This window comes from Homo sapiens, chromosome 2 (genome assembly GCF_000001405.40).
Source record: "Homo sapiens chromosome 2, GRCh38.p14 Primary Assembly".
Taxonomy (NCBI): domain Eukaryota; kingdom Metazoa; phylum Chordata; class Mammalia; order Primates; family Hominidae; genus Homo; species Homo sapiens.
The window spans coordinates 13,254,206-13,280,254 of record NC_000002.12 but is presented as its reverse complement, the minus strand read 5'-3'; the positions used below and the strand labels follow the sequence as shown (position 1 = coordinate 13,280,254).

Genomic DNA, 26,049 nt, shown 5'->3' with positions numbered 1-26,049 from the left:
AAAGTGGGAAAGTCAAAGGACCTCTTTAGCAGAATATAGACAGAGCTATATGTGATGTCAGAGAGCAAGGAAAGCTAATGATGAGGGACAGGCTAATTATATGAGTAGCAGAGTTCCAGAGAAGGTTGGATACTGTCTTGTGCAATGCCAAGTTTACGGCCCTAGTTGGGAAGAGATGAATTGAGACTTTAAATTAGCAAAACTGGGTTGAGGCCAGGAGCGGTGGCTCACGCCTGTAATCCCAGCACTTTGGGAGGCCGAGGCAGGCGGATTGCCTGAGGTCAGGAGTTCGAGACAAGGCTGGCCAACGTAGTGAAACCCTGTCTCTACTAAAAATACAAAAATTAGCTGGGCGTGGTGGTGGGCACCTGTAATCCCAGCTACTCAGAAGGTTGAGGCAGGAGAATTTCTTGAACCTGGGAGACGGAAGTTGCAGTGAGCTGAGATCACACCACTGCACTCCAGCCTGGGCTACAGAGTGAGACTCAGTCTCAAAACAAAAAGCAAAAAACAAAAAACTGGGTTGATAAACTTGAAATCATTGCAAACTGAGACCCCTCTAAATCCTCTTGACCTGGCCTGCACCTTCCTGTTAGAGGGCTACAACTCACCCATTTGATGAAGATGTTGAAAAGGCCACTACAATGTGACTCAACACTTGACCCCATTGTGATCCTCTTCTGGCTACTAGATCCATAACAATGATTAAGTTACAACATAATCTGACCAGGCTTCTGCTAAGCCTGCTTAAAAAGAAAGAAATTACATTGTAAGGAGCTGTGGGACCTAGAAAAATTGTATTGGAAAGAGCTGGAAGAGGGCTGGTGCCTGAGGATACTGGATCCAAGGTCGTTTCACTTGATGGTAAAATGTGAAGAATGCAGAATTTACTAATATATGAAGAGGAAAACCTTCACACCTCATCTATTTCTTAATGCATTTTTGTAAATAAGTACAATTTCTAGGAACCTCTTCTAACCAGTCCTATTGTAAGCTCTCCATAGGGTTGACCAACTCAACAATGATCTTCAAGTAAAGTTGTGGGGAGTTTTTTGCTTTTGTTATTGTTGTTGTTTTTGTAGAGATAGTGTCTCCTTATGTTTCCCAGGCTGGTCTTGAACTTCTGGGCTCAAGTCATGCTCCTGCCTCAGCCTCCAAAAATGCTAGAATCATAGCCGCAAGCCATCACATTCAGCCCTCAAGTAAATTTCTTTAACAAAAATGTTGTTTTAAAAATTTATTCACACAGCTGTGATCACCAATGCTTTATCGGAAAAAAGATAAGTAAGGTGATCAAGACATTGCAGAGTTAAGTTAAATTTCATGTTAAACCCTCTCACAAATCATTGTAGTAAACAGCTGGATCTTAGTGATTTCCATGCAGAAAATTTTGCAGTGACTGAATGATTTTGAAATATGCAACTTTAGAGCTACAGAGCTGTCAGAGACAGGTATGGCATCAGGGAGTGTTATCAGAAACATAACATTATTCCCTCTGCAAGCCCAGAGATGATCCAGGCTCTTCATGACTGATTTATGGCATTCATTATCAATCTTTGCTCATTTAAAAACCAGAATGCCAAATGGTTGACATTTAGTAATGCGCCTAGGTAGGAACAAAAACATCTCATCATATCATTTCTGCCCAAAGCACTCATTGCTTTCCAACAACCTTAGTATAAAACCCCAAGTCTTGATATAAAACCCCATAAGCCCTTGCATAATCAGCTTCCTATCTATCACTCCAGTTTTGTTTTCTCCATTTTCAGATCACCTTCCCTACACAGCCTCAGTGAACACCTTGTTCAGAGTAAGCCATAGTCCCTCTTACCTTTCTTATTTTTCAAATGCTGCTTATTGTCTTAAATTCATGCCCTTGGTTCATGTCCCCATCCGCTGCAGATCCTACACACATGCATATTTTGTCCAGTTTTCTTGTACTTGTTCTTGATACAGACATCTTCTCTTCTCAGAAACCTACCACAATTAAAACTTAGTTCCTTTTTCAATGAACAAGCATAGTGCCCTGTATTCGATAAGGGAAGTGACATTTTACAGAAAACTTATCCTGTGAAGGCAAGTGACATGAACAAGTCTTTCTGTCGCTACACTCTTCTTAGCAGGGATTATGTCATATTTATCTCTGGGACTCAAGGTCTCAAGGGTGAAGGGAAGGGCCTCACAGAAAAAAAATCATAAATAAGATAATCAATAAATGGAAGCCAGCATTGTTCATTTGATTAGTTCACTCCCTTTTGGTATGGTGGTCCAACTAATAGTTTAAAAGTCAATCAAAAGTCTTAAAATGAATGTGCTCAAGAAGTTAGGCAGGGTGATAAATTCCTTTCTTCTATTTTACTGAAAGTTTTACCAAGGTATTGTGACCATGTTTAATAAAAGATTAAAAAATGATTAATCAGCTTCTTCCTCTGCCAATAACCCTCAAATAAGCTCATGCAGTACAGCATAGGGGATGACGGATGTGTCAATCAATTTGATTGTGCTAATCATTATATAATATATATGTATATCCACTTATCACATCATACTTCTTAAATATATATAATTCTTATCTTTCAATGAAATATTTTAAAATTATAAAGAGAGGGGTCTGATAGAATTGACTAAGCTGGTCTCTATGCAACAGGGCATAGTTATTCTCATGAAGGCTTCACAGTTTGCCAAAGTGTGGCATTTTTCAGTTTTTATGTTTCAGATTCATATGAAATAGTTCATATTTAAGTTAGCAAAGCCTAACTAACAAGTACAGTGTAGAAGCTTAAAAGTATACTTTATTAGTGTACATAAGGCTTCACTCAATCAAAATATTCTGTTTAAGAAATGAAGAGCAAGGCATGGTGGCTCATGTCTGTAATCCCAGCACTTTGGGAGGCCAAGGGAGAAGGGTCACTTGAGCCCAGGAGTTCAAAACCAGCCTGGGCAACATGTGAGGCCCCATCTCTACAAAAATTATAAAATATTAACTGAGCATGATGGTATGCGCATGTGGTCCAAGCTACTTGAGAGACTGAGGTGGGAGGATCGCTTGAGCCCAGGGGTTGATCCTGCAGTGAGTGATGATTGTGCCACTGCACTCCAGGCTGAGCAATAAGCAAGACCCCATGTCTAAAAAAAAAAAAAAAAGAAAAGGAAAGAAAAAGAAATGAATAGATTCTGCATATAGGACATAAAATCTGAAAAATCTAATCCTGTATCTTGAAGTCAGACACATGTAGTTTAAAATGCCATGTCTACCATTTGCTAACTCTGTGGCCTTTTTAGCTTTCCAATTACTCACTTTATAATGATATGAAACAACCCTCGTGGAGGCTGCTTTAGTGATTAAATATGACATATAATAATCTAGCAAAGTGTATGGGAAATCACAGACAATATCTAATATCAGTCATCTATTAAAATCCAGTAAGTTTCTACTTACTTTAAGTATGCTTAAAAACAACATGTGTGAAATGGAGGTAATAGTAATTTCTAAGCATGTCTATGTGGCATATGCATGTCAGGAATTTGTACTGCTTTTCTACAGATATAATAACTCAAAAATTGTTTAAAAACTTTAAAAATATTTATGAATTATCATTTTTGATACATCCTTTACAACATAAAGAAGAATAAAAATGAAAAAAATATTTCCTGGTTATAATCAAAATGAGGCAGTTTTAAAGTTATGAATTTACTCCACTTAATCAGAATTTTAGGTAAGTTATTAAAATTGCTATAGTTGAATATATCAAGGGATCATTAAATAAAATAAATTGGTTTAAAAGTAAAAGTAGAAAATCACAAACTTACCTTTCTCCCCCAATAGCATTTAAGGTCCTATATTTCAGATCAAACACAAGGAAAAGGCCACTTAGTAGAAATGAACGATAATTCTACCACTCCTTATCAAATGGATTAATGCAAGTTTTTGTTGCTGGGAATTTATTTTAATGTATTTCCTGAGAAGTCAGATAGTATGTTTTCTTATCGGCATTTTTCTGACAGTCTCTTATGACACTATGTAATGAGAACCTCTGAGAAGAAAATTATCAGTTCCTTGCATTCAGCTCCAAATAAACAGATTTCTGTGAGAAAAACTTTCTCTTACCCCAAGTATCCAAAATGCATATTTTCAGTCCTAAGTTTAGTGCACTGAACTGTGACAAATGGCAAGCATGATTCAGCCTAATAGAATGTCGATTTTCAAACGGAGGCTTTACACCATAAGGACTATGAAAGTTATTAAGCCCCAACATGTCTGCTCTGCTTGGTGATTCCTTCTCTCTCATCAGAAAAGACGGATGAGATGTACAATACCTCCATTCAATATTTCCAACATTTATTAGCATAAAGGAGAGACCCATAAAGATGTATTCAGTCTAAGGAAAATGGATGAAGAAAAAAATAAAATAAACTGTGAGTGAAAACTACTAACAAATTTGGAAGGATGGGCATGGTGTTGGGGGTAGAAAAGGGAAGAAGGAGGCTGGTATGGTCTTAAATGTTTGTGTCCCACTGAAATTCATACGTTGCAATCCTAATCCAAGGTGATGGTGTTAGGACATGGGGCCTCTCCAAGGTGATTAGGTCCAGAAGCTAGAGCCTGATGAATGAGATTAATGCCTTTCTAAGAGAGGCCCAAGGGAGCCTTTTTGTACATCCACCATGTGAAAGCCCAGCAAGTAATCATCACCTAGGATCAGGAAACAAGACCTCACCAGACACATAATCTGAGGCCTTGATCATGGACTTCCCAGCCTCCAGAACTGAGAAATAGATTTCTATTGTTAATAACCCACCCAGTCTATGGCATTGTGTTATAGCAGCTCAAATGAACTAAGACAGACAGAGAAACACATACACACAAATACATACACACACACACACACACACACACACACACACACACACAGACAGAGAGATCGTGACCTGCCCACTGAATTGCTCTTAAAGAGAAGAAAATGCCTTTGTTTAGTTGATTGCTTGTTAAAACAGTACGTAGTGCTAATATGAGATTTAAAATTTTACCATTCCTTAATCCCATATTTAGTTTGTTAGAATTTTTGAATCTGAATGGATACTAAGAATCTATGTGACTCCACTTCCTTTGTTCTAGCAATGTATTTTGCCATATGTGTGTGTGTGTGTGTGTGTGTGTGTGTGTATACAAATGCATACATATATTTCTATAGATAGATATAGATAGATATGTAAGTGTGTTTGGGTGTATACAAACAGGGTTTCACAAGTTCTAATATTTTTACTCAACATTTTTAAACTTTGCCATCAAGCAAACAACAAAATATATGTATGGGAACATTTCAAAGAGCTATTGGAAATGTCTGATCAGTAAATTCCAAAGCTTTAAATTCATATTTTATAATGTATATTATTGTATGTGAATTTTATTGACTTAAAATTTCTAAGCAACTTAAATATGTTTTAAATATATAAGTCTAATCAGTCCCTGTTGGGATATTAAATATATCAGTATTTTATAGCATCATGATACTAGCTCTGTAATTTTCATGTCCTCAGTATCCTCATTTAAGTTTGAGAATAATTGTTAGTGAAAATGAATTCTTAACTTTTACACATCTTACAAGCTTCTTTATTTTGGAGATGTAACTATTGTGTTCTATATGCTTTTATTTCCTTTAAAACTGGTAACTAAGATTATATCTAATGAATGTATGTATGGTTTTTAGATATATGTTAAGTGGGGAAGACTTCAAAGAATGGGGTTTCAAAAGCATCCACATGATGTACCCTAAACTACTAATGAGTCAGAAGTTTTCTTGGGTCTTGATGGAGTTTTTCACATGAAGACATTTTGGTTCTGTATTCAATGATTTTAACTGCTGTGGAAGTCAGATGTTTGTCCCCGAGTGGTTTCTGTCAGTCTTGCTCAGATTTTGCTGCAATTGCAGAGAGCTGTCAGGGATCACTGAGTTTCTTGTAACTCCTCAGCTTTTCTTGACATTTGACAAACACAAATGAAAAACTTGCTGACTCCTAAGTTTCAGGATTTCAGTAAATCCTCTGCCATCCAGAAAGGGAAGAAAAAAAATATAGTGAGAAGAAGACAGTTTGAGCATTTTTTTATTCATAAAATTTATATTTATGTTTTCTGAAAATGCACAAATATAATTATATATAATTAATATCTTACGTATTAATTAGAAAATCAGAAAAGTATTACAAAGCAAGCAAGTAAAAAATAGCCACTATAAAGGAAAATCTGATAATATTTTAATACTTTCAAAGTGTTTTTTGCAGGGAATATAGAATTATTTAGTAGGAATTAATATATAGATGGATGTATATAATTTTACATAAGGTTATGAGCATTTCCCTCATTTTGAAAGGATATTTTTGTTTTTCATCAATGTTTGACTGTATCATAATTTTTGAAATCTGTGTTTTTTGTAATTATCACTGTGCAGTGGAGAGACTCTAAGGTAGTTCCCACAAACCCAGGTTGCTGGTATTCACACCTTTTATTACCTTCCTCTCTTTAAGTGCAGCTAGGACCTGTAGCTTGCTGCTAACCAATAGATTACAGCATAGAAGACAGCATATACTTGGTTACATGTATGTGATTACCTTGTATGAGATGGCTATAATATCTATCTTGCTAAAAAATTCTGTTACTGCCTTTGAAGCAGCAAGCTGCTATACAATGAGCTGCCCTATGGAGAGGGCCACATGACAAGGAACTGAGGGTGGACATTTTATCCACCACGATCAAGTGGGCTTCATCCCTGGGATGCAAGGCTGGTTCAATATATGCAAATCAATAAATGTGATCCAGCGTATAAACAGAACCAAAGACAAAAACCACATGATTATCTCAATAGATGCAGAAAAGGCCTTTGACAAAATTTAACAACCCTTCATGCTAAAAACTCTCAATAAATTAGGTATTGATAGGACGTATCTCAAAATAATAAGAGCTATCTATGACAAACCCCAGCCAATATCATACTGAATGGGCAAAAACTGGAAGCATTCCCTTTGAAAACTGGCACAAGACAGGGATGCCCTCTCTCACCACTCCTATTCAACATAGTGTTGGAAGTTCTGGCCAGGGCAATTAGGCAGGAGAAGGAAATAAAGGGTATTCAATTAGGAAAAGAGGAAGTCAAATTGTCCCTCTTTGCAGACGACATGATTGTATATCTAGAAAACCCCATTGACTCAGCCCAAAATCTCCTTAAGCTGATAAGCAACTTCAGCAAAGTCTCAGGATACAAAATCAATGTACAAAAATCACAAGCATTCTTACACACCAATAACAGACAAACAGAGAGCCAAATCATGAGTGAACTCCCATTCACAATTGCTTCAAAGAGAATAAAATACCTAGGAATCCAACTTACAAGGAACATGAAGGACCTCTTCAAGGAGAACTATAAACCACTGCTCAATGAAATAAAAGAGGGTACAAACAAATGGAAGAACATTCCATGCTCATGGGTAGGAAGAATCAATATCGTGAAAATGGCCATACTGCCCAAGGTAATTTATAGATTCAATGCCATCCCTATCAAGCTACCAATGACTTTCTTCACAGAATTGGAAAAAAACTACTTTAAAGTTCATAAGGCACCAAAAAAGAGCCCGCATCGCCAAGTCAATCCTAAGCCAAAAGAACAAAGCTGGAGGCATCACACTACCTGACTTCAAACTATTCTACAAAGCTACAGTAACCAAAACAGCATGGTACTGGTACCAAAACAGAGATACAGTTCAATGGAACAGAACAGAGCCCTCAGAAATAATGCCGCATATCTACAACTATCTGATTTTGACAAACCTGAGAAAAACAAGCAATGGGGAAACGATTCCCTATTTAATAAATGGTGCTGGGAAAACTGGCTAGCCATATGTAGAAAGCTGAAATTGGATCCCTTCTTTACACCTTATACAAAAATTAATTCAAGATGGATTAAAGACTTAAATGTTAGACCTAAAACCATAAAAACCCTAGAAGAAAACCTAGGCATTACCATTCAGGACATAGGCATGGGCAAGGACTTCATGTCTAAAACACCAAAAGCAATGGCAACAAAAGCCAAAATTGACAAATGGGTTCTAATTAAACTAAAGAGCTTCTGCACAGCAAAAGAAACTACCATCAGAGTGAACAGACAACCTACAAAATGGGAGAAAATTTTTACAACCTACTCATCTGACAAAGGGCTAATATCCAGAATCTACAATGAACTCAAACAAATTTACAAGAAAAAAACAAACAACCCCATCAAAAAGTGGGCGGAGGACATGAACAGACACTTCTCAAAAGAAGACATTTATGCAGCCAAAAAACACATGAAAAAATGCTCACCATCACTGGCCATCAGAGAAATGCAAATCAAAACCACAATGAGATACCATCTCACACCAGTTAGAATGGCAATTATTAAAAAGTCAGGAAACAACAGGTGCTGGAGAGGATTTGGAGAAATAGGAACACTTTTACACTGTTGGTGGGACTGCAAACTAGTTCAACCATTTTGGAAGTCAGTGTGGCGATTCCTCAGGGATCTAGAACTAGAAATACCATTTGACCCAGCCATCCCATTACTGGGTATACCCAAAGGACTATAAATCATGCTGCTATAAAGACACATGCACACATATGTTTATTGTGGCACTATTCACAATAGCAAAGACTTGGAACCAACCCAAATGTCCAACAATGATAGACTGGATTAAGAAAATGTGGCACATATACACCATGGAATACTATGCAACTATAAAAAAATGATGAGTTCATGTCCTTTGTAGGGACATGGATGAAATTGGAAATCATCATTCTCAGTAAACTATCGCAAGAACAAAAAACCAAACACCACATGTTCTCACTCATAGGTGGGAATTGAACAATGAGAACACATGGACACAGGAAGGGGAACATCACACTCTGGGGACTGTTGTGGGGTGGGGGGAGTGGGGAGGGATAGCTTTAGGAGATGTACCTAATGCTAAATGATGAGTTAATGGGTGCAGCACACCAGCATGGCACATGTCTACATATGTAACTAACCTGCACATTGTGCACATGTACCCTAAAACTTAAAGTATAATAATAATAAAATAAAATAAAATAAATACGGAAGGAAAAAGTTTGAAATCTTAAAGGAAACAAGGAAATCTAGTAAACCAAATTTATCTGAAAAAAAAAAGAATTACCGTAAAGCTACAGTAATTAAGGCAGTGTAGTATGGATAGATGTAACATTAAGTGAAATAAACAGACTAAAACACAGAAATACACCCATACCTTTATGGTAAGCTGATTTTGTGCAATGATGCAAGGACAACATTCAGGAAAAGAGTCTTTCAGTTAATGGAGCTGAAAAACTGGGTATCTGTATGGGACAAAATAATAAGTGACTTTAATCAAAAATAATCCAGAAAATAATTTTGAGAAGGATTTGTATTTCTACATATTTAAAAATAAAAATTATAAGACTTCTAGAAGAAATATAGAGGTACGTCCTCGAGACCTTGGGCTAGGCAAAGATTTCTTAGAAGGACAAAGAAAATATTAACCATGGAAAGAGAAAAGTGGCAATCTGGACTTCATACAATTTAAATTTTCTGCTAGTCTGAAGATAGTAATAAGAAAATAAATAGGGAAGTCACAGAATGAAAGGAAATATCTTCTATGGACATATCTGAAAAATTACTACTATTTAGAATATAAAAATAACAGAACTCAATAGTAAAAAGAAAAACAACTCTATAAAAAGCGGGAAGAAGTCATGAAACAATAACTCTTAAATAAAGATGTAGAAATGGCCAATAAACACATAAAATTGCTCAATTTCCCAATAACTTTTCTTCATCAGGGATATACAAATTAAAATAGTGAGAAACAACTCCATAATTACTATAATGGCTAAAATTTAAAAAGGCTAACAACATTAAATATTAAGCAACAGAAATCTCATACTTTGCTAATGGGAATGTGAAATTATGTAACACTTTGCAAAACTGTTTGGTAGTTCCCATAAAGTTCAGCCAACACCTACTCTCTGACACAAAACTTTCCTCCCTGGTTATTTACCCAAAAGAAATTAAATATTTGCATGCACCCCCCCACACACACATATACACTTTATACAAGAATATTTATAGTTTTATTTGTAATACCCAAATTGGTAAAAGTCAAATAGCCTTTAAAAGTGAAGAGATAAACATGTGATGTATTTACAAAATAGAATACCACTCAAAAATAAATAGAAAAAGACTGCTAATACACAATAATATATATAAATATAGGTAATATTAGGCTGAATGAAACAAGCCAAAGGCAATGTGCGTGTTGTATGATTCCATCTGTATAAAGTTCTACGACAGACAGTACTAGTCTCTGATGGTAAAAGTCAGTAGAGTAGTTGCCTTGTGTAAAGGGCAGAAGGGAGATTAATGCTTATTTCTTTATTTATTGATGTTCTTTGACCTTTAGAATTTAAGCTTTATGAAGTTGGGATACTTGTGTTATCACCATCTATAACAGTATTATGTGTGTGGGTATTCAATGAATATTTGTTAAAAGAATGAATAATGAGTACATATACATTGTAGCATTTCTATAATAAAGAATTGTGATCTAGCCTAAATGTTCAATATGGGGCAAGATTTATGAATGAATAAATTATGATTTCATCTACAAAATATCTGAATGCATGTAATAAATACAAAATAAATACACGAAGATATAAGTAATTATTTTAAGTTTGAGCAATTATAGGTGCATTTAATTGATAGTTTTCCTTTCCACATAATTTTTACTAAAGGACAAAAAAGCTCTCATTGAAAAAGGGGAATGATGTATTCTGAACACAAATTTTATAAAATATGGTTCCTGGTGTCATATGCAGTCAGCGATGAGATCTCAACTATCCAATTATTTTATTTGTATTTTTTTCTGTGATCATTGTTTTGTGGAGAAGGAGGGCCGTTTAATCGTCTTCATTGGAGTCCATTGCATTAGTAGACTACAGGATTTATTCTTCAAGTTCCTTGAAGAACCCTACAGTGCCTGATCCAAATCCCTAAAGGTAGCCTGAGATAAATATGAATGAAAAACAAAAAGTTAGGCCAGAAGTTTCCAGTATGTTTAATTTACAGAGACTATTGAAACTCTTGTGGACATTGCTTTAGACATTAAATACCATACTCTAGGGATATGCTACAAATATCCTGAAATTCCTGTTACTTCCATGACTGTTAATGGTTTCCCATACCTATAGATAAAATTGCCTAGAGATCACTATACTCTCTAGAACCTGACTCCAGCCATCATTTCAGATCTCAGCCTCTGATACCCTGGACATTATACCTGATTACATTGCTGCAAAAGTACCAATTCTTATTTATGTCTGAGTTCACATAACTTATTATTTCTTGAAATGCCCTTTCTCTCCACTCCCACCTCCTGCCCCTGCCTACCCAAAAATAATCACTTAACCTCCAAAGCCCAGTTTTTGGTCCTTTCTCCAAAGTTTTTAGGTAGAATTCCCATAATATCTATGAAATTCCTCTTCCTAAAATCATCCTCTTAAAATTAAAACAACTTTTTCCCACTCTTGAAATGTATGAGAGGTTTAAGGGCTTATGAAACTCATTAATATATATTTCCCTTGAAAACTGCACTTTGATCCGTCTCACAACTGATTTGGTATCTGATATTTATCATATTCTGGCACTGCATTCAAAACTTTCAATTTAACACACTGTCACAGTAATTATACCAGTGAGAATAATTCATCATTATTAAATTATTATTATAAGACACGTTTCTTGCCCACCAGACCATAGACGAGGAGTATGTCTCAATCATCTTGTTCAATTTATTTAGAATTTCACTTACTCCAGAAAGGCCTTTTCTTACTCTCTTATTCAAAGTAACGTTCCTGGTGATTTGTCATTAAACTTATTTAATTACTGGATAGAGATAAAGATAGTACATTTTATAAAATATAAAATGCACAAAGGCAGGGACATTTACTTTTTGTTTCTTCTGGTATTTCTAGCTCCTCACAGTGTATAGAATAAATTGCTAGATCAATAAATATATGTTGAAAGAATTAATATATGAATAAATAAATGGGTGGTTATAAAACAAGTAAAACCATACAATGAGTGGATATGTAAACAAATTTTTGCTTGTCGAATGAATATTTTGGAATGTCCTACAATGAAAGTCTTTAGCAGTAATAATACAAGAAACAATGTTGTTAAAGAACAAAGCAAGAAGATATCTTAGAATGAAAAGAAACAGATTTTTTAGCTTATGATGCTCTTCAGTGTAATACTTCTGACTTTTACAGTACATAAAAATAGCTTTATTGTGTAGGATTTTATGATGTACTCAGGGATGTTTTTATAGGCATTTTCTTTTATTTTCATAATAGTTACCTGGTAGGTATTTTAAAAATTTTATGGATGATAACCGTAATAAATAAATAAATACACACACACACACACACACACACACACACACACATATATGTAACTTTATTGAGTATTTAAGTGTGTGCCTGGACCTCTTCTGATTGCCTTTCATTTATTTATTTCATCTTTATAAGAATGTGATGAGGTAGATACTATAGCACACTGTACAGAAACAAACTGAAGCTCAAAAATAATTATAAAATTGACTCCATTCTAAAGGTAGAAAATCTCAATTTTTAATTTCAGTTTTCTCTCCTATATCCAAAGTCCCTGTTCTTTCTTTAACAAACTGTGTTTCAACATATATAGTAGCTAATGTACTGTATTAGTCCTTTCCCACACTGCTATAAAGAAGTGCCTGAGACTAGATAATTTCTAAAGGAAAGAGGTTTAACTGAGTCACAGTTCCACGTGGCTGCGAAGGCCTCAGGAAGCTTACGATTATGGCGGAAGGGGAAGCAAACACGTCCTTTTTCACATGGTGGTAGGAGAGAGAAGAGCAGAGCGAAGGGTGGAAAGCCCCCTATAAAACCATCAGATCTCCTGAGACCTCCCTCACTATCATAAGAACAGCATGAGGGAATTGCCCCCACGATCAAATCACCTCCCATGAAGTCCCTTCCCCAATACAGGGGGATTACTATTCAGATGATAATTCAAGATGAGATTTTGGGTGGGGACAGAGCCAAACCACATCATGTACATTAAAAATAAATATAGTCCTCTAAATGTCTTAGAATACCTCGCTATATTCTCTCCATGCTATTTGACAAAGCTGACAGCAATTATGACTTGGTTAACTTGTATAGTGTTTACCCATTTCATTTTAAGTTGTCTTTTAATAAGTATTTCTATTGTACATTTCAAGAAACTTATAAATAACACAAAATAGTCATAGAAGCTTCCCATTTCATTCAGAATTTTGCCTTGTTTCCTAGGATTTGAGCAAATAAAAAATAGTTTTAGAAACATGTAAACAGAGAATAAGAAATAGTAAAATACAAATTAAACTAATTACAAACTCTGTCTTAAAGATATAAGGAATACAAAGCATACAAGTTAATAAAAGTTATATAGGTTGTATAAATAAGTTATAAACTTCTCTCATCTTTCATATTGTTACAGTTTGGGATTACGATGTAACATATATAAATAAAATATTATTTTAAAAACACTCCAGAAAGGTTTTTATTCTTTAATCTATCATTGTGCTGTAAAGCAGGAAATAATGAGAGGAAATATATAATGTGTATTTAAATAAATGTTGTCATCCAAAAGACCACCAGTGTGGCTAAATAGTAGAAAAGAGAGCTTTATTGGCAAATCAATTTGAAAACTTGGAAGAGAAAGTCTTCAGTGCAGAAAGAAGGTGTGCTTTCTTCAGAGAACAGTTGGTGTTTATGCCTCACAGGGCTGGTTTAATACATATTCAGCAGATTTGGGAAAAAAGCTATGCAAATTTACCAGGGGAGCCAGGCACATGCATAATGGGTAAAAATGTATATAACATACATTCCATGTTCATTTTGAGGTGGGGTTTTAGCATTAAAATGAGCTAGAGTTTGGCTTTTTATGTCAAAAGTGAACTGTAGAACACAAAGACAACGTATATACAGCCTCTGTTAGTTGAATGAAACTGGCTTAAGGTCGACTGTTGTTTATCATGAAAGAATGTTTTAAGGCTGATCCTCTGTCCAGTCAGAGATATAATGGTCTGGGTTGTGCATCACAGCGGATAGCTCCTATTGTTAGGGAGTTAAGCCTTAGGAATTTAGAAATTTGTCATGCCAGAGGGGTCCTGAACCCTTGACTATAGGTAACTTTAGTTCCCTTAACCTTAGAACCCGTCTTAGTTAAGAAAGTTGCATCTATTCTGGTCTCTCAGATCATGGATCTTTACATTTTAAAATTAATATTTAAATTATAAAATATTATTGTACACATCTAACTAAAACACATCTGTCTTAGTCTATTTTAAATAGTTTAAATATTTTCCTAATCTAAATATTGTCTATTTAATCAAAAGACAAAATACCATTTTGTTTAAAAAGTTCTTTCATGTATCAACAGAAGGCTTCTGACACAACTCTTATATCTACCAAAACCAAATTTCATTGCATATATATATATATGTATATATATATATATACACACATTTTTTTTTTCTTTGAGATAGAATTTCACTCTTGTTGCCCAGGCTGGAGTGCAATGGCGCGATCTCGGCTCACCACAAGCTCCGCCTCCCGGGTTCAAGCGATTCTCCTGCCTCAGCCTCCAAAGTAGCTGGGATTACAGGTGCGCGCCACCACACCCAGCTAATTTTTGTATTTTTTAGTAGAGACGAGGTTTCACCACGTTGGCCAGGATGGTCTCGATTTCCTGACCTGGTGATCCGCCCGCCTCGGCCTCCCAAAGTGCTAGGATTACAGGAGTAAGCCACCGCGCCTGGCTGCCGTAACGTTTTTATATCAAAATTCTTCATGCATACATAAATAGTATATTCACAATAACATGTTATTATTTATGTATTCATATATTTAATAGGTATGTTAGTTTCTGCTATGTACCAGGCACTTTTCTAAGACTGATAATGTGTTGATTAATAAAATAAATCAACTCTCAACACTTGAGAAATTTTTATCCCAGTTAGAGAAAAGAGAAAATAAATAACAAATGAATACAAAAGAAAGTATTGATAAATTTGATAAATATATAGGCAGTAAAAGTGAGGATGTTATAGAAAGTGGGAAGTATGGTTTGTTTGTACATCTACAAAGGGAAGATATATGTATAAATTTTCCCCTATATAAATTGTTCTATAAATGTTGCCATGCCAAAATCTAAAAGAGTTTTGAAGGAGAGGAAGAGTGATTACGAAGTCCCTGAGATGAAAGCAAGCTTATGTGTTCAAGAAATAAAACGGAGCCAATGGGGCTTGATCATAGTCAGTGGGAAGAATAAAAGAACAGAATTAGATGATCACAGAAAGCTTTATGGACCATGGTAAAAGGATTTTATTTTATTGTATTTTAAAAGAGAGTTTTAAGGAGAGGAGTGACATTATCAGATTAATTTTGTTGACTTAAATAAGGCTGTAGCAATAAAGATTGCGATAAATGGTTAAAAAAAAAGAGAACATATATTTTAGAGACAGAGACTTCAGTATTTATTGATGGACTGAATGTGCTGGTTGAAAAAAGTGAGAAATCAAGAATGGAACTTAGGAACTCACTGTGTGAATGTTGGTTTCATTTATTGCAGGCCAAGGAATCAATAGCTCTGTTTCAGTCATGATAATGCTGAGAGCGCTATTAAATGAGATGTAAAGTAGGCAGTTGAATATAGTGGAACAGAGAGCAAAGTCTGAGCTCTTAAAATATACACTCCAGTCATCAGTATATAAGTAATAGTGAAAGTGAATGGGCTAACTAAGATCATTTAGGGAAAAGAGTATAAAAAATAAATTAAAAAAGAAAAGACAAGACTAAGTACATAGCTTGAAACACTCCAACATTTAAAAGTAGAACGTCTTCTGCTTCTGCTCATAAAGGGTTAACAGCTACAAAAACGGTCTTCTTGTGAAAAATAACTAGAAAATGAAATAAAATATGCAAAACAACTCTTTTCAGACATTGCACAATAGGCAGTGTCTAACTGCAAAAACATGATTCCTACGAAAGGAGAAACAATAAACTGAGCCTTAGCTCTAGAAATTGCCCAGCTTAGCACTTGCAGCAAGTTTCTAGGCTGAAGAATAGAGATGGGAACTCAGACCTCAGAAGTCTTACTAATTTGGGAAGGCAGAGACTAGATTTCAGGGAGACAGAAGCAGCTAGAATGTGTGGAGCTGAATAATGAAGAGGAGAGTGCTTTAGAAGGAGAGCCGCGAAAGCTTGCAGAAGGGTGTTCTAGATTATCCTAAATAAATTACTCCTAGAAGAAAGACTGGTATCCTGACAAATCTTAAGCGAAAATCTGAAAATGATCTAGCTAATCACAAATCACTTAACCATACAACTGAATAAAGTCTTGCACTCTTTAAAGAAATACAACAAAATCCAGCACCCAACAACATAAAACTCACAATATTTGCAATCCCATAAAAATGTATAAGACATGCAAAGAGGCAGGGAAATATGATCCATAATAAGAATAAATTTGAATAAACAGAAACAGAATCACAAAGAATGGAAATGATGAAAAATGACATAAAATAACAGATTAAGTAAGAAATTCCATATCAGAAAAACATAAAAATGGACACTATAAAGATTAGTATGTAAATTCTAGAGATAAAAAATACATTATCTGAAATTTTGTAATGGTACCCCCTAGTAAATTAACACAACTATATGTTTGTTAGGTATTTTCTTTGTTTTATGGCTTTGTTAAAACATGTTTTTATAGCTTATTCTTTATAAAATTCAATGTATCTAAATTCTCTCTCTCTTAAAGATTTGAATAAATTCAACTTTCAAATATCTGGACCTTTAAGTCAGCTCTTCAAAAGCACAATTTCTTCAATAAAAATCAGTCTATTCAAATTTTCCTTCCCTCTTTGACTCAAACATTGGATGATTTAAAATTTTATAGACAATTATCCGTCTCACAGAGATTTTCACAAGACCTCTCAGGTTGATAATAAAATTTATTTCAATTCTGTATATCACTTACTTATTTGTAGTTATTTTCACTCTAATTTCTATTTTATTATTGGCGTGAGTTTTTTTAAATATTTAGGTTAGCTAGTGTTGATTTATGCATTTTATTGTTGTGTTGTTATGACCCACATTGTTCTTTATTTGCGGTACTTTTTAAAAATAACATATGTGCTGGTTTTATTCACCGTTTCCTTGTAATTTATAAATGATGATTTTTTAACTCGTTATTTGGAAATAATGAGAAATTTGTAGACTTTGCAAGAAAACAAATAATGCAAGGAATGCCCCTACACCCTGCATAGAAAATCACATATTGGTAATGCATTTTACTCCATTTGCTCTACCATTTGCTATCAATTTTTTACTTCTTTCCACCTAATCTTGTATCATCTACTTAAATGTATTTTCTGAACCATTTGAGGGTAAATTGTATATATCAAAGCCCTTTACTTCTTAAATACTTCAAGTTTATTAACTAAGAACAGGGCTGCTTTTTACACAACAGTTTACTTTTTGATTATCAGCAAATGTAACATCTAACCCATATATTTTTCAAGTATACTATCTATATTCCAATTATAATTATAATTATTAATTTAGTTTTCTACACCCTTGAGTCAAATACGTAGTTTGATCTTTTTAAAATATTAATGCAAGTGTTGGCAATGTGTTAAAAGTAATGGATACACCTTAATGAGACTTTGAATTATAATACTTTTGAATGTATTTTAAAACATGTCCAAAAATCTTAGTCATGCTCATAAATTTTACTTCTATTAATTTCTAAGAAAATAATGCTGAATGTTTACATATTTTTAAGCTAGAAGAGTGTCCCCATCAATAATATTTATAAGCATTTAAATTTTGCATTTATGTATAAGTATTATTGAAATATTCATCAACAAAACAATCTAAAGGAACAAATATTGGCAGTTATTATCTCTATGTGGTAAGAATAAAGGCATTTTTTCTTTATCTGTGATTGCTAGACTTTGTATAGATATGATATATAGAGGTAATATTTATTGTTTTAAAATATGTATGCAAATTCTAAGCCCTTTGTGTGTATTACAAAGTGTAATCTTCAAATGACTTTTTAAGTTAGATACAATTTTTTATTTATTTGTTTGGATGAGAAACACTAGGCACAGTTATTTAGAATAACAGGTAAGTGATAGAGTGAAGATGTGAACTAGGAAATCTGACTGTCGAATTTGTGCTCTTAAATCCTATGCCATAATAAGTGCTACCTTTGCAAAAGTGGAAAAACATAAACATGATTTTTAAAAGGTTGTTGTATTAAGATAAAAGTGGTTTAAAATAATTATGAATAACATAGTCAATGAAATTTCTGATGAAATTTAATGTTTAATTTTTTCAGTAGATGCGATAGATCAATTTCAAATAAATTCCAAGAAAATAAAAGGCTTTAATGTTAACAGGCTGTTATTGCTTAAAAGAAAGGAAATAACATTCAAGTCTATTGATTGTCTACTGTAAAATATACTGGATACATTTGAGCAATAAAATGTACTTTTGAAAGAGAAATAGCTTTCCACGTCTTGCTAAGGTAATACTTCAGTAGATTAACTATTGTTAAGAAATTTAAAGGCAATGAAAAATTATGGTCCTGCCAGAGGAAGAAGCTTTTGCTGAGAAAGCAGGGAGTTGCACCACCTCCACTCAAGCATAAACATGGCAGAATGACCTTAACGCCTACCTTGTTTTTTAATGTCTGCATAAAGCTCTGAAGTGTGCCAGCAGTTAGGGCGATGAAGTAAGCAGAAAATAATAAAGATGTGGGAGGCCAGAATCTTCACAGTGAATGAATAGGGACTGTTCTAGGATTTATAATATGCAGCTTCAACTTATCATAATCCTCATTCTGATCATGTTATTCTGGCAGACAAGCAGTGTAAGACCTACATAGATATACTTTTATATCCCCTGCCCATCCTATGTGTTCTGAAGTTGTTTGGCTCAGTCTTTACTGAGTTTATTTCCTGTGTGCAGATAGGGTCCTAAGATTCAGAGGTTTCTTTGCAGATATCAGAGCTTTATCACCATGCAGTTCCCTTTTCTTCAGTACTCTGCCCCACAAATCTTGCTCCCTCAGCCTCTCCTATTTCAGATCTCTGTCTCTTTAACTCAGAAAGACTACTGGAATATTTTTGGGTTTGCCTTCCATACTACAGCCTGGAAACTGTTTACAGTCAGTAAGCTGGTACAATCATAGGGCCACTCCATTTGTTTCTTTCCTTTCTAGGAACACAGTTATTTGCTCCTGATTGTTCCATGTCAAAAAAAGGTCCTTTCATAGATTTTGCCACTAGGTACAATTCCCACTGCATTTAATCCTGTATGGGTGGAAAACATTTAATCTTTTCTTTCATAATCAGCTTCGCTGGTTTTGCCATTTCTACATTATTTAGTTTTCACCATGAGTTCCCCAAGTTTCCAAGAGTCATTTCAGCAGAACATTAGGGCAGCCTCCCTGGGACCTAGCCATGGTGCTGAACACTGAGTCCTGGGAGAATGCCCCCGTATGAATAATGCCTCCCTTATCCAACTTTTGTTCCCCTTCAACTGACACTATCAGAATCTTTCCCATAAATACTCTGCTGGCTCTTGCCACTACAGTTGGCTAGATCCTGCAATTTCCTGGGGATATGAACCCTTTCTTCTGTTTCTAGAACCAACACTTCCCCAGCTAGTTGAACTGTGACTTGAATCACCCTAGTTTTTGGCCTGCTGGTCAGGAGAGGAAGAGGGTTTGAATTCTAAGAGAGACATGCATTGCTTTGAGAGTGGAGACTTCTCCATCATCTTCATGCAAAAGGGGGACAGTTGTCCTTGACAGGGAAAGTTAGTCTCCTCTGAAATTTTGGAAGATTCAAGAGAATCTGAGATTTCAAGACTTTTTAGTGGAACAATCCAGAATCTGCCATTACGTAGCTCTGGGTCCCATTCTTCTTTCACCAAAAATGCTGAACATGGCATGTCAGACAATTCTAGATTGAGGATTCAATACTGCCTTTTGCTTTCTTACTCTGACTAAATTATGCACCTAATCTTTAGCTTTTTCTGTCCTCTGCCTGAAAAAGCTGTTGTCAAGAGGGTGGTCTAGCTTTAAAACCTAGCTTTTTATTAATTATCAGTCATCCCTCTTAGCCTTTTGTTTCCTTTCTCCAAGACATCATCTGCCTCCACCACCAGTAATTTAATTTAATTGTCCTTATAATTATCACTACTCCAATATTTTCCTAAAGAATGATAAACTACACCACAAATATATGTATTCTCTCCTTTATGTCATCCTATTTCACCATAGTGAAATTTGTGATGATTTCACTGTGACAGTAAGCCAGGGTCATTCTATCAGTGATTCCCTTACTTGTTGGCTTTCAATGGGCAACTGATCTGTCTCCAATCACATTCTAGATTCTACCTTGTCAGAGAAATCCTGCCACTGACTGTTGCAAATCTGATACTCCAAAAAGTAGACTGTGAGATAGATTGGGTGGAGGAAGTGTATTAGGGCAGGCTTTGAAATCACTACTTGTAAGGAAATGAAGACAACAGGGTTGGGTAGAGGAAAATGTGGGACAGTGATGCAACCACTATAATCCCCAGGACACACCTGGGGCTCCGTGGATGAGAGCATCCTTCAGAACTTTCTCAAGTTGAGGTGAGAGAGTGAGGTATTTATATTGTCACACCAACAAGTTGTCAAATGACCCTGCCTCCTGTAAGAGGACAGGATCTGCAGCACTCCCAGCCGCTGGCAGAACCAGCCAATAAGTCTTGAAGACAGATCATGGTAGCACAGCAGAACATCTACTAAATGATTAAAAAAAAAAAGAAAGAAAGATGGAGTTAAATAAAAGCGGGGGGGGGGGCGGGGAGGTGGGGAAGAGCAAAAGGAAAGGAGAGAAATGAAAAGAGAAGCAGAAGGCAAGAAGATAAAAGCTTGTATGTCTACAAAGATCGTATCACATTGTCAGAAATTTCAACTGAGCATCTCTAAAATGTTTACGATGCTATGCCGGGAATTTGGCAAATATTTAAAATGATTATATCCTGGCTTTTCCCTATAATGACTTCCCAATTCAATTTGATTATACCAGACAGGGTTTCTAAATCTTCACACAGTATCACATATATTAACACTACTTTTTAAAGATTGTTTTGCATTAGAAAAAAGTCTAATACAAGATAAAGTATAAATAATAGTTTAAAAATAAGAAAATCGAAGGAGAAGAACAAAGTCAGAATATTGACAATAACTGAGTTCAGACTTACTATAAAGCTACAGTAATTACGAAACTGCAGGATTAGTGAAAGAACAGACACACAGACCAATGGAACAGAATAAGGACTCCAGAAATACAGATACACACATAAATAAGTAGGAATATACTTTGTTATATATAAACTTTTAAATGTATATAAATATATAATTATAGATTTAAAATTATATATTATATCCAGCCTGGGAGACAGAGCGATACTCTGCCTCAAAACAAATTTTATATATTATTATATATAATTATATATATATATTTGCTTATATATATTTTTAAATATATACTTTTTTTAAGGAGCAAAGGTAATACAAGTGTGTTAAGGTAGTCTTTGCATTGTAACAACTAGAAAACTACCTGCAAATAACTTTAGGCATAAACCTGACACCATTCAAAAGAATAAACTCAAAATGAATAATACCTATTAAATGTACAACAAAAAACTGTAAAATCTTAGAAGATAACATAGAAAAAATCTAGATGATCTTGGGTATAGAAGTGACTTTTTAAAATACAACACCAAAAATAAATCATTAATAAGCTTGACTTCATTAAAACAAAACTTTGCTCTGTGAAATACAATTTCATGAGATTGAGAGAAGACAAGCCAGAGATTGGGAGGAAATATTTGTGATGAATACCTTTGAGAAAGGGCCATTATGCAAAATATATAAGGAACAATAAAAAATAAAAGAACACTATAAAATTGGGCAAAAGACCTGAATAGATAGAATAGATACCTCACCAAAAAAGGTATTCAGACGTCAAGTAAGCATGTAAAAGGATGTTAAACATCAGATACTATCAGGGAAATGCAAATTAAAACAAGGATGAGATAGCACTACACACCTATTGAAATAGCCAAAATCCCAAACACTGACAACCCCACATTCTGGAGAGGATATGGAGCAACAGGAACTCTTATCCATTGCAGGTGAAAATGCAAAATGGTACAGCAACTTTGGAAGACAGTTTGGCAGTTTCTTACAAAACTAAAAATACTCTTACATCGAATCCAGGAATTATGCTCCTAGGTATTGACCTAAATGAATCAAAATCTTATATCCACACAAAAACCTGTACAGGTAAGTTTATAGCAACTCTATTCATAATTTTCAAAACTTGGAAGCAATATGTCCGTTAGTGGGTGAATGGATAAATGAACAGGGATGCGTCTAGCCAATGGAATATCACTCCGCCCTAAGAAGAAATGAGCTATCAAGACATGGAAGGAACTTAAAGGTTCATCACTAAGTGAAAGAAGCCAAACTGAAAAGGCAGCAATATTCCAACTATATGGCATTCTGTAAGAGGCAAAAATGAAGAGAGTAAAAACAAAAATAATTGTCATGGATTAGGGAGAAAGGAAAGATGAACAGGCAGAACACAGAAAATTTTTAGGGCAGTGGGACTATTGGGTATGATAATACAAGTGTGAATGCATAGCATTATACATAACACCATGAGAGAATCCTAATATAAACTATGGACTTTCGGGGACTCTTATGTGTCAATGAAGGTTTGATTATAACAAGTTGCATTACTGTGATGTGGGATGTGGATAGCTGAGGAGGCTGTCTATGGATGTGGACTGTCTGTACTTTCCACTCAATTATGCTATCAACCCAAAACTGCTAAAAATAATGATTATGACATTTAAAAAAAAAACGTAATAGTGCCCTGGGAATCACACAGAAGAAGAGTGATTCATTTTGAGAGCAGATGGGAGATACAAGGTCTCACCAAAAAGGTGAACCCTAAATAGGATCAATAATTAAAGTTTACCCAACAGAGAAAGAATCCTAGTTTGAAGCTTGGATTTTAGTGCACTTATGCTGTGTAAAAAGCCTGAGCTACTCTAGTCAGGCAGTAATACATTTTCTCACACTGGATCCAATATTACATAAAAGCTAGCTTCATTAAATAGGAGAATGAACATAATAAATGATGGGAAATAAAGGTTTCTTATGGGGGTCTCAGCTTATCCTTAGCCATCATGACATTAGATTTTTCATGTTTTAGACAACAGTTAATGGTGCAAACCCAAGATGCCAAAATGACCAAAATAAATTGAGCTAATCTAACATAAAGACACCTGCGATTGGTGTGTAATTGAATTCCAATGGTGTCATTTTAGAACAACAAATATATGTGTTTATCATAATAAGATTATATTGTATTCTTCAGGGCTGTTACATTAAATCTCACACCAGATAGAAAATCACCTAAAATGATTGCATATCAGTAGCCTAGACAAGATTTTCAAATTTATGGGTAGCAGTGACAAAAAAAAAAGAAGTGCTTTGATGCTTCAATGGGCACCATCATGAGCAGCAGTCACATCCAGGAGCACGTTGCCACTTAGTCATTGTAAAGATGTGTTTTCCTTTTGAAAAATTCATTTGATATCTTTTAAGGTGCCTTTTATCTCAGATTTTTTTGTGATTGTATAGAATGGCAATACTGTCCAGTGACCCATCTGATGTGTCCCTTCTACCACATCTCTGCCAAGTAGTTACTTACTCAGACCCTGCTTGAACACTTCACTGTTTTCTAAAGGAAACTAGTTCAAATGTATTCAGGTGAGATTTTAAAACTGTTTGGATTAGCCATTTTCAACACTGGTTCTGAACATCACTTGATGCTCTATAGAACAAATCCACCTTGCTCTTTTACGTAATAGGCTATCAGATATCTGAAGACAGTGTGAGTGATTAATGAACAGAGATTCTATGTGCCACAAAAGAAAGAATATGTCTCTTGCTAGACATTGATTGGTATAAGCTACCATATGGCATATAAGATATCTTCTAGGACCCACTTAGTTTTTTTCTCAAGATATTTCTACCTAAAATAAATTACATGTGTTTTCCCAAGAAGACTATAATTTGCATAAGAGGGAGTATCACATCTTATTTCTTCCCTCAACACTAACAACTTAAGACAAAATATATGAAAGAAAAGAATTTCATGTTTTATTAAAGCTCTAAGCATTTGTGAAGAATTTACTAAGTATTAATCATGTGTCAGACACTACATTTTATATTCAGGAAGCATACAATAATGCATAGTACATATCATCAAGGACCTTATGATGTACTGAAAAAGGAAGTCACAAAAATGATCTCTGTATTGAAAGTATCTATATGCAAAGTACTGCCAGAGCACAAAGGTATGCGATAATCCTCCCAGGGTTGCAGCAGAAGATATTTTAAAAGAGGAGATACTGAATGCAAGGTCTGAAGAATGAGAATTTATAAAGTAAACAAAAGAGGAAGGCATTCCAGAAAGAAGGAAGAATGTTGGCAAAAACAAGAGGCATGAAAGTGTAACATCGGGAGAGGGAATATACTTCAGTAGTTCAGAGAACAGTTCATGTACAAAGTGCAGAGGGAAGTGGCTAAAGAGATGGGATAGCCAAATGTCACTTTCTTGCATGCCAGGCAGAGGAAGTTGCACATTAATTTACAAGCTACAGGAAATCATTAAAGGGGTTATAGCAAAGCAGTGACATTCTTTGTAATGAAATGTGTTACATTTTGCTAACATATTTAACAAAAACAAAATACATATTTTTAGAAAAGTCACTAATAGTTCTGTGGAAATTAAACTGAGACTGGAAGGGAATAGAGTTTTTAAAAAATCAAAAAAAATTTATATCGCACAGATGAAAGGTGAACCTAAGGCAGAAATTTATAGCCAATATGAAGAGGAAGTTAGAAGTTGAGAGATATTAAAAGGGGATAACCCGGCGTACTTGGTGATTGTCTGATCAAAGAGGAAGAATAAAGAACAGGTGGGGTTAATTGTAAGTTACCGTTCTGATTTCTGACTTTTGTGGATGATTGGAAGGTGGTGTCATTCGCTGAGAGAATGAATACAGGGAGCTAGGTCTATTTCGAAAAGAAAGGTTGAGTAAGTTTGACACAGTTTGACTTTAACATGTCAGTGAAAGTTGAAGGTAACAAAGTTTCATTTGCAGTTAGAGGTGTCTCAATAGAGCGGAAGTATCTGCATTGATGAGGAACAAAAGAAAAGAGATATGTGAAAACAGAAGGTTATTGAGGAAACAAAATATTTAAAAGGTATTCAGAGGAAGTAGTAATGATGAAGATACTGAGAATTATAAAAAGAGTCCAAGTAGAACTGGTGAAGAGACTTGCTCTAAATTAAAAAACTAATAAGGCACAGATTTAATATCTCAGTGGATATCTGTCTGCTTGGGATACACTTCCATCTCCTTGCCTCACCCTCCTAGATCTATTCCACTGGCATTCCTCATGCTTAAGAGTCAGATACAGTCTGTGAAAAGCCTTACTTGCCTACAGTTTGCCTACATCTACATAACAAGATATTTTCATACTGGCATTCTGGTTTTCTCCTTATTTATCTATCTGCCCAGGTAGGTTGCACAACCTACAATATAGCTGATGGAGACTAAGCTTCCATCATTTCTGAAAGCCCAGCATGTATCATTTTGCCTTATATACATGGACACTTAGAAAAAGCTTATTGAAGTAGACCACATTAATGTCAAATTGATATAGTTGAAATATCAACTATATGTGTCACCTCCCGTTAGGTGCATTGTTGGTGTGTGTGTGTGTGTGTGTG

General features: G+C 34.9%; 1 long non-coding RNA gene across 3 annotated transcripts in view; it reads right to left on the bottom strand.

Moving 5' to 3' along the window:
* LOC105373436 (uncharacterized) overlaps positions 1-26,049 on the bottom strand; it is a 330,895-nt gene that overhangs the window by 51,429 nt on the left and 253,417 nt on the right. For 2 of the 3 annotated variants that reach the window (XR_001739293.2, XR_001739292.2), the window contains exon 2: positions 9,289-9,376. This is a non-coding gene — a long non-coding RNA (uncharacterized LOC105373436). Of the gene's footprint in view, positions 1-4,882; positions 6,043-9,288; positions 9,377-26,049 lie in introns of those variants that run through there. The other variant, XR_001739291.2, reaches the window with a different exon arrangement.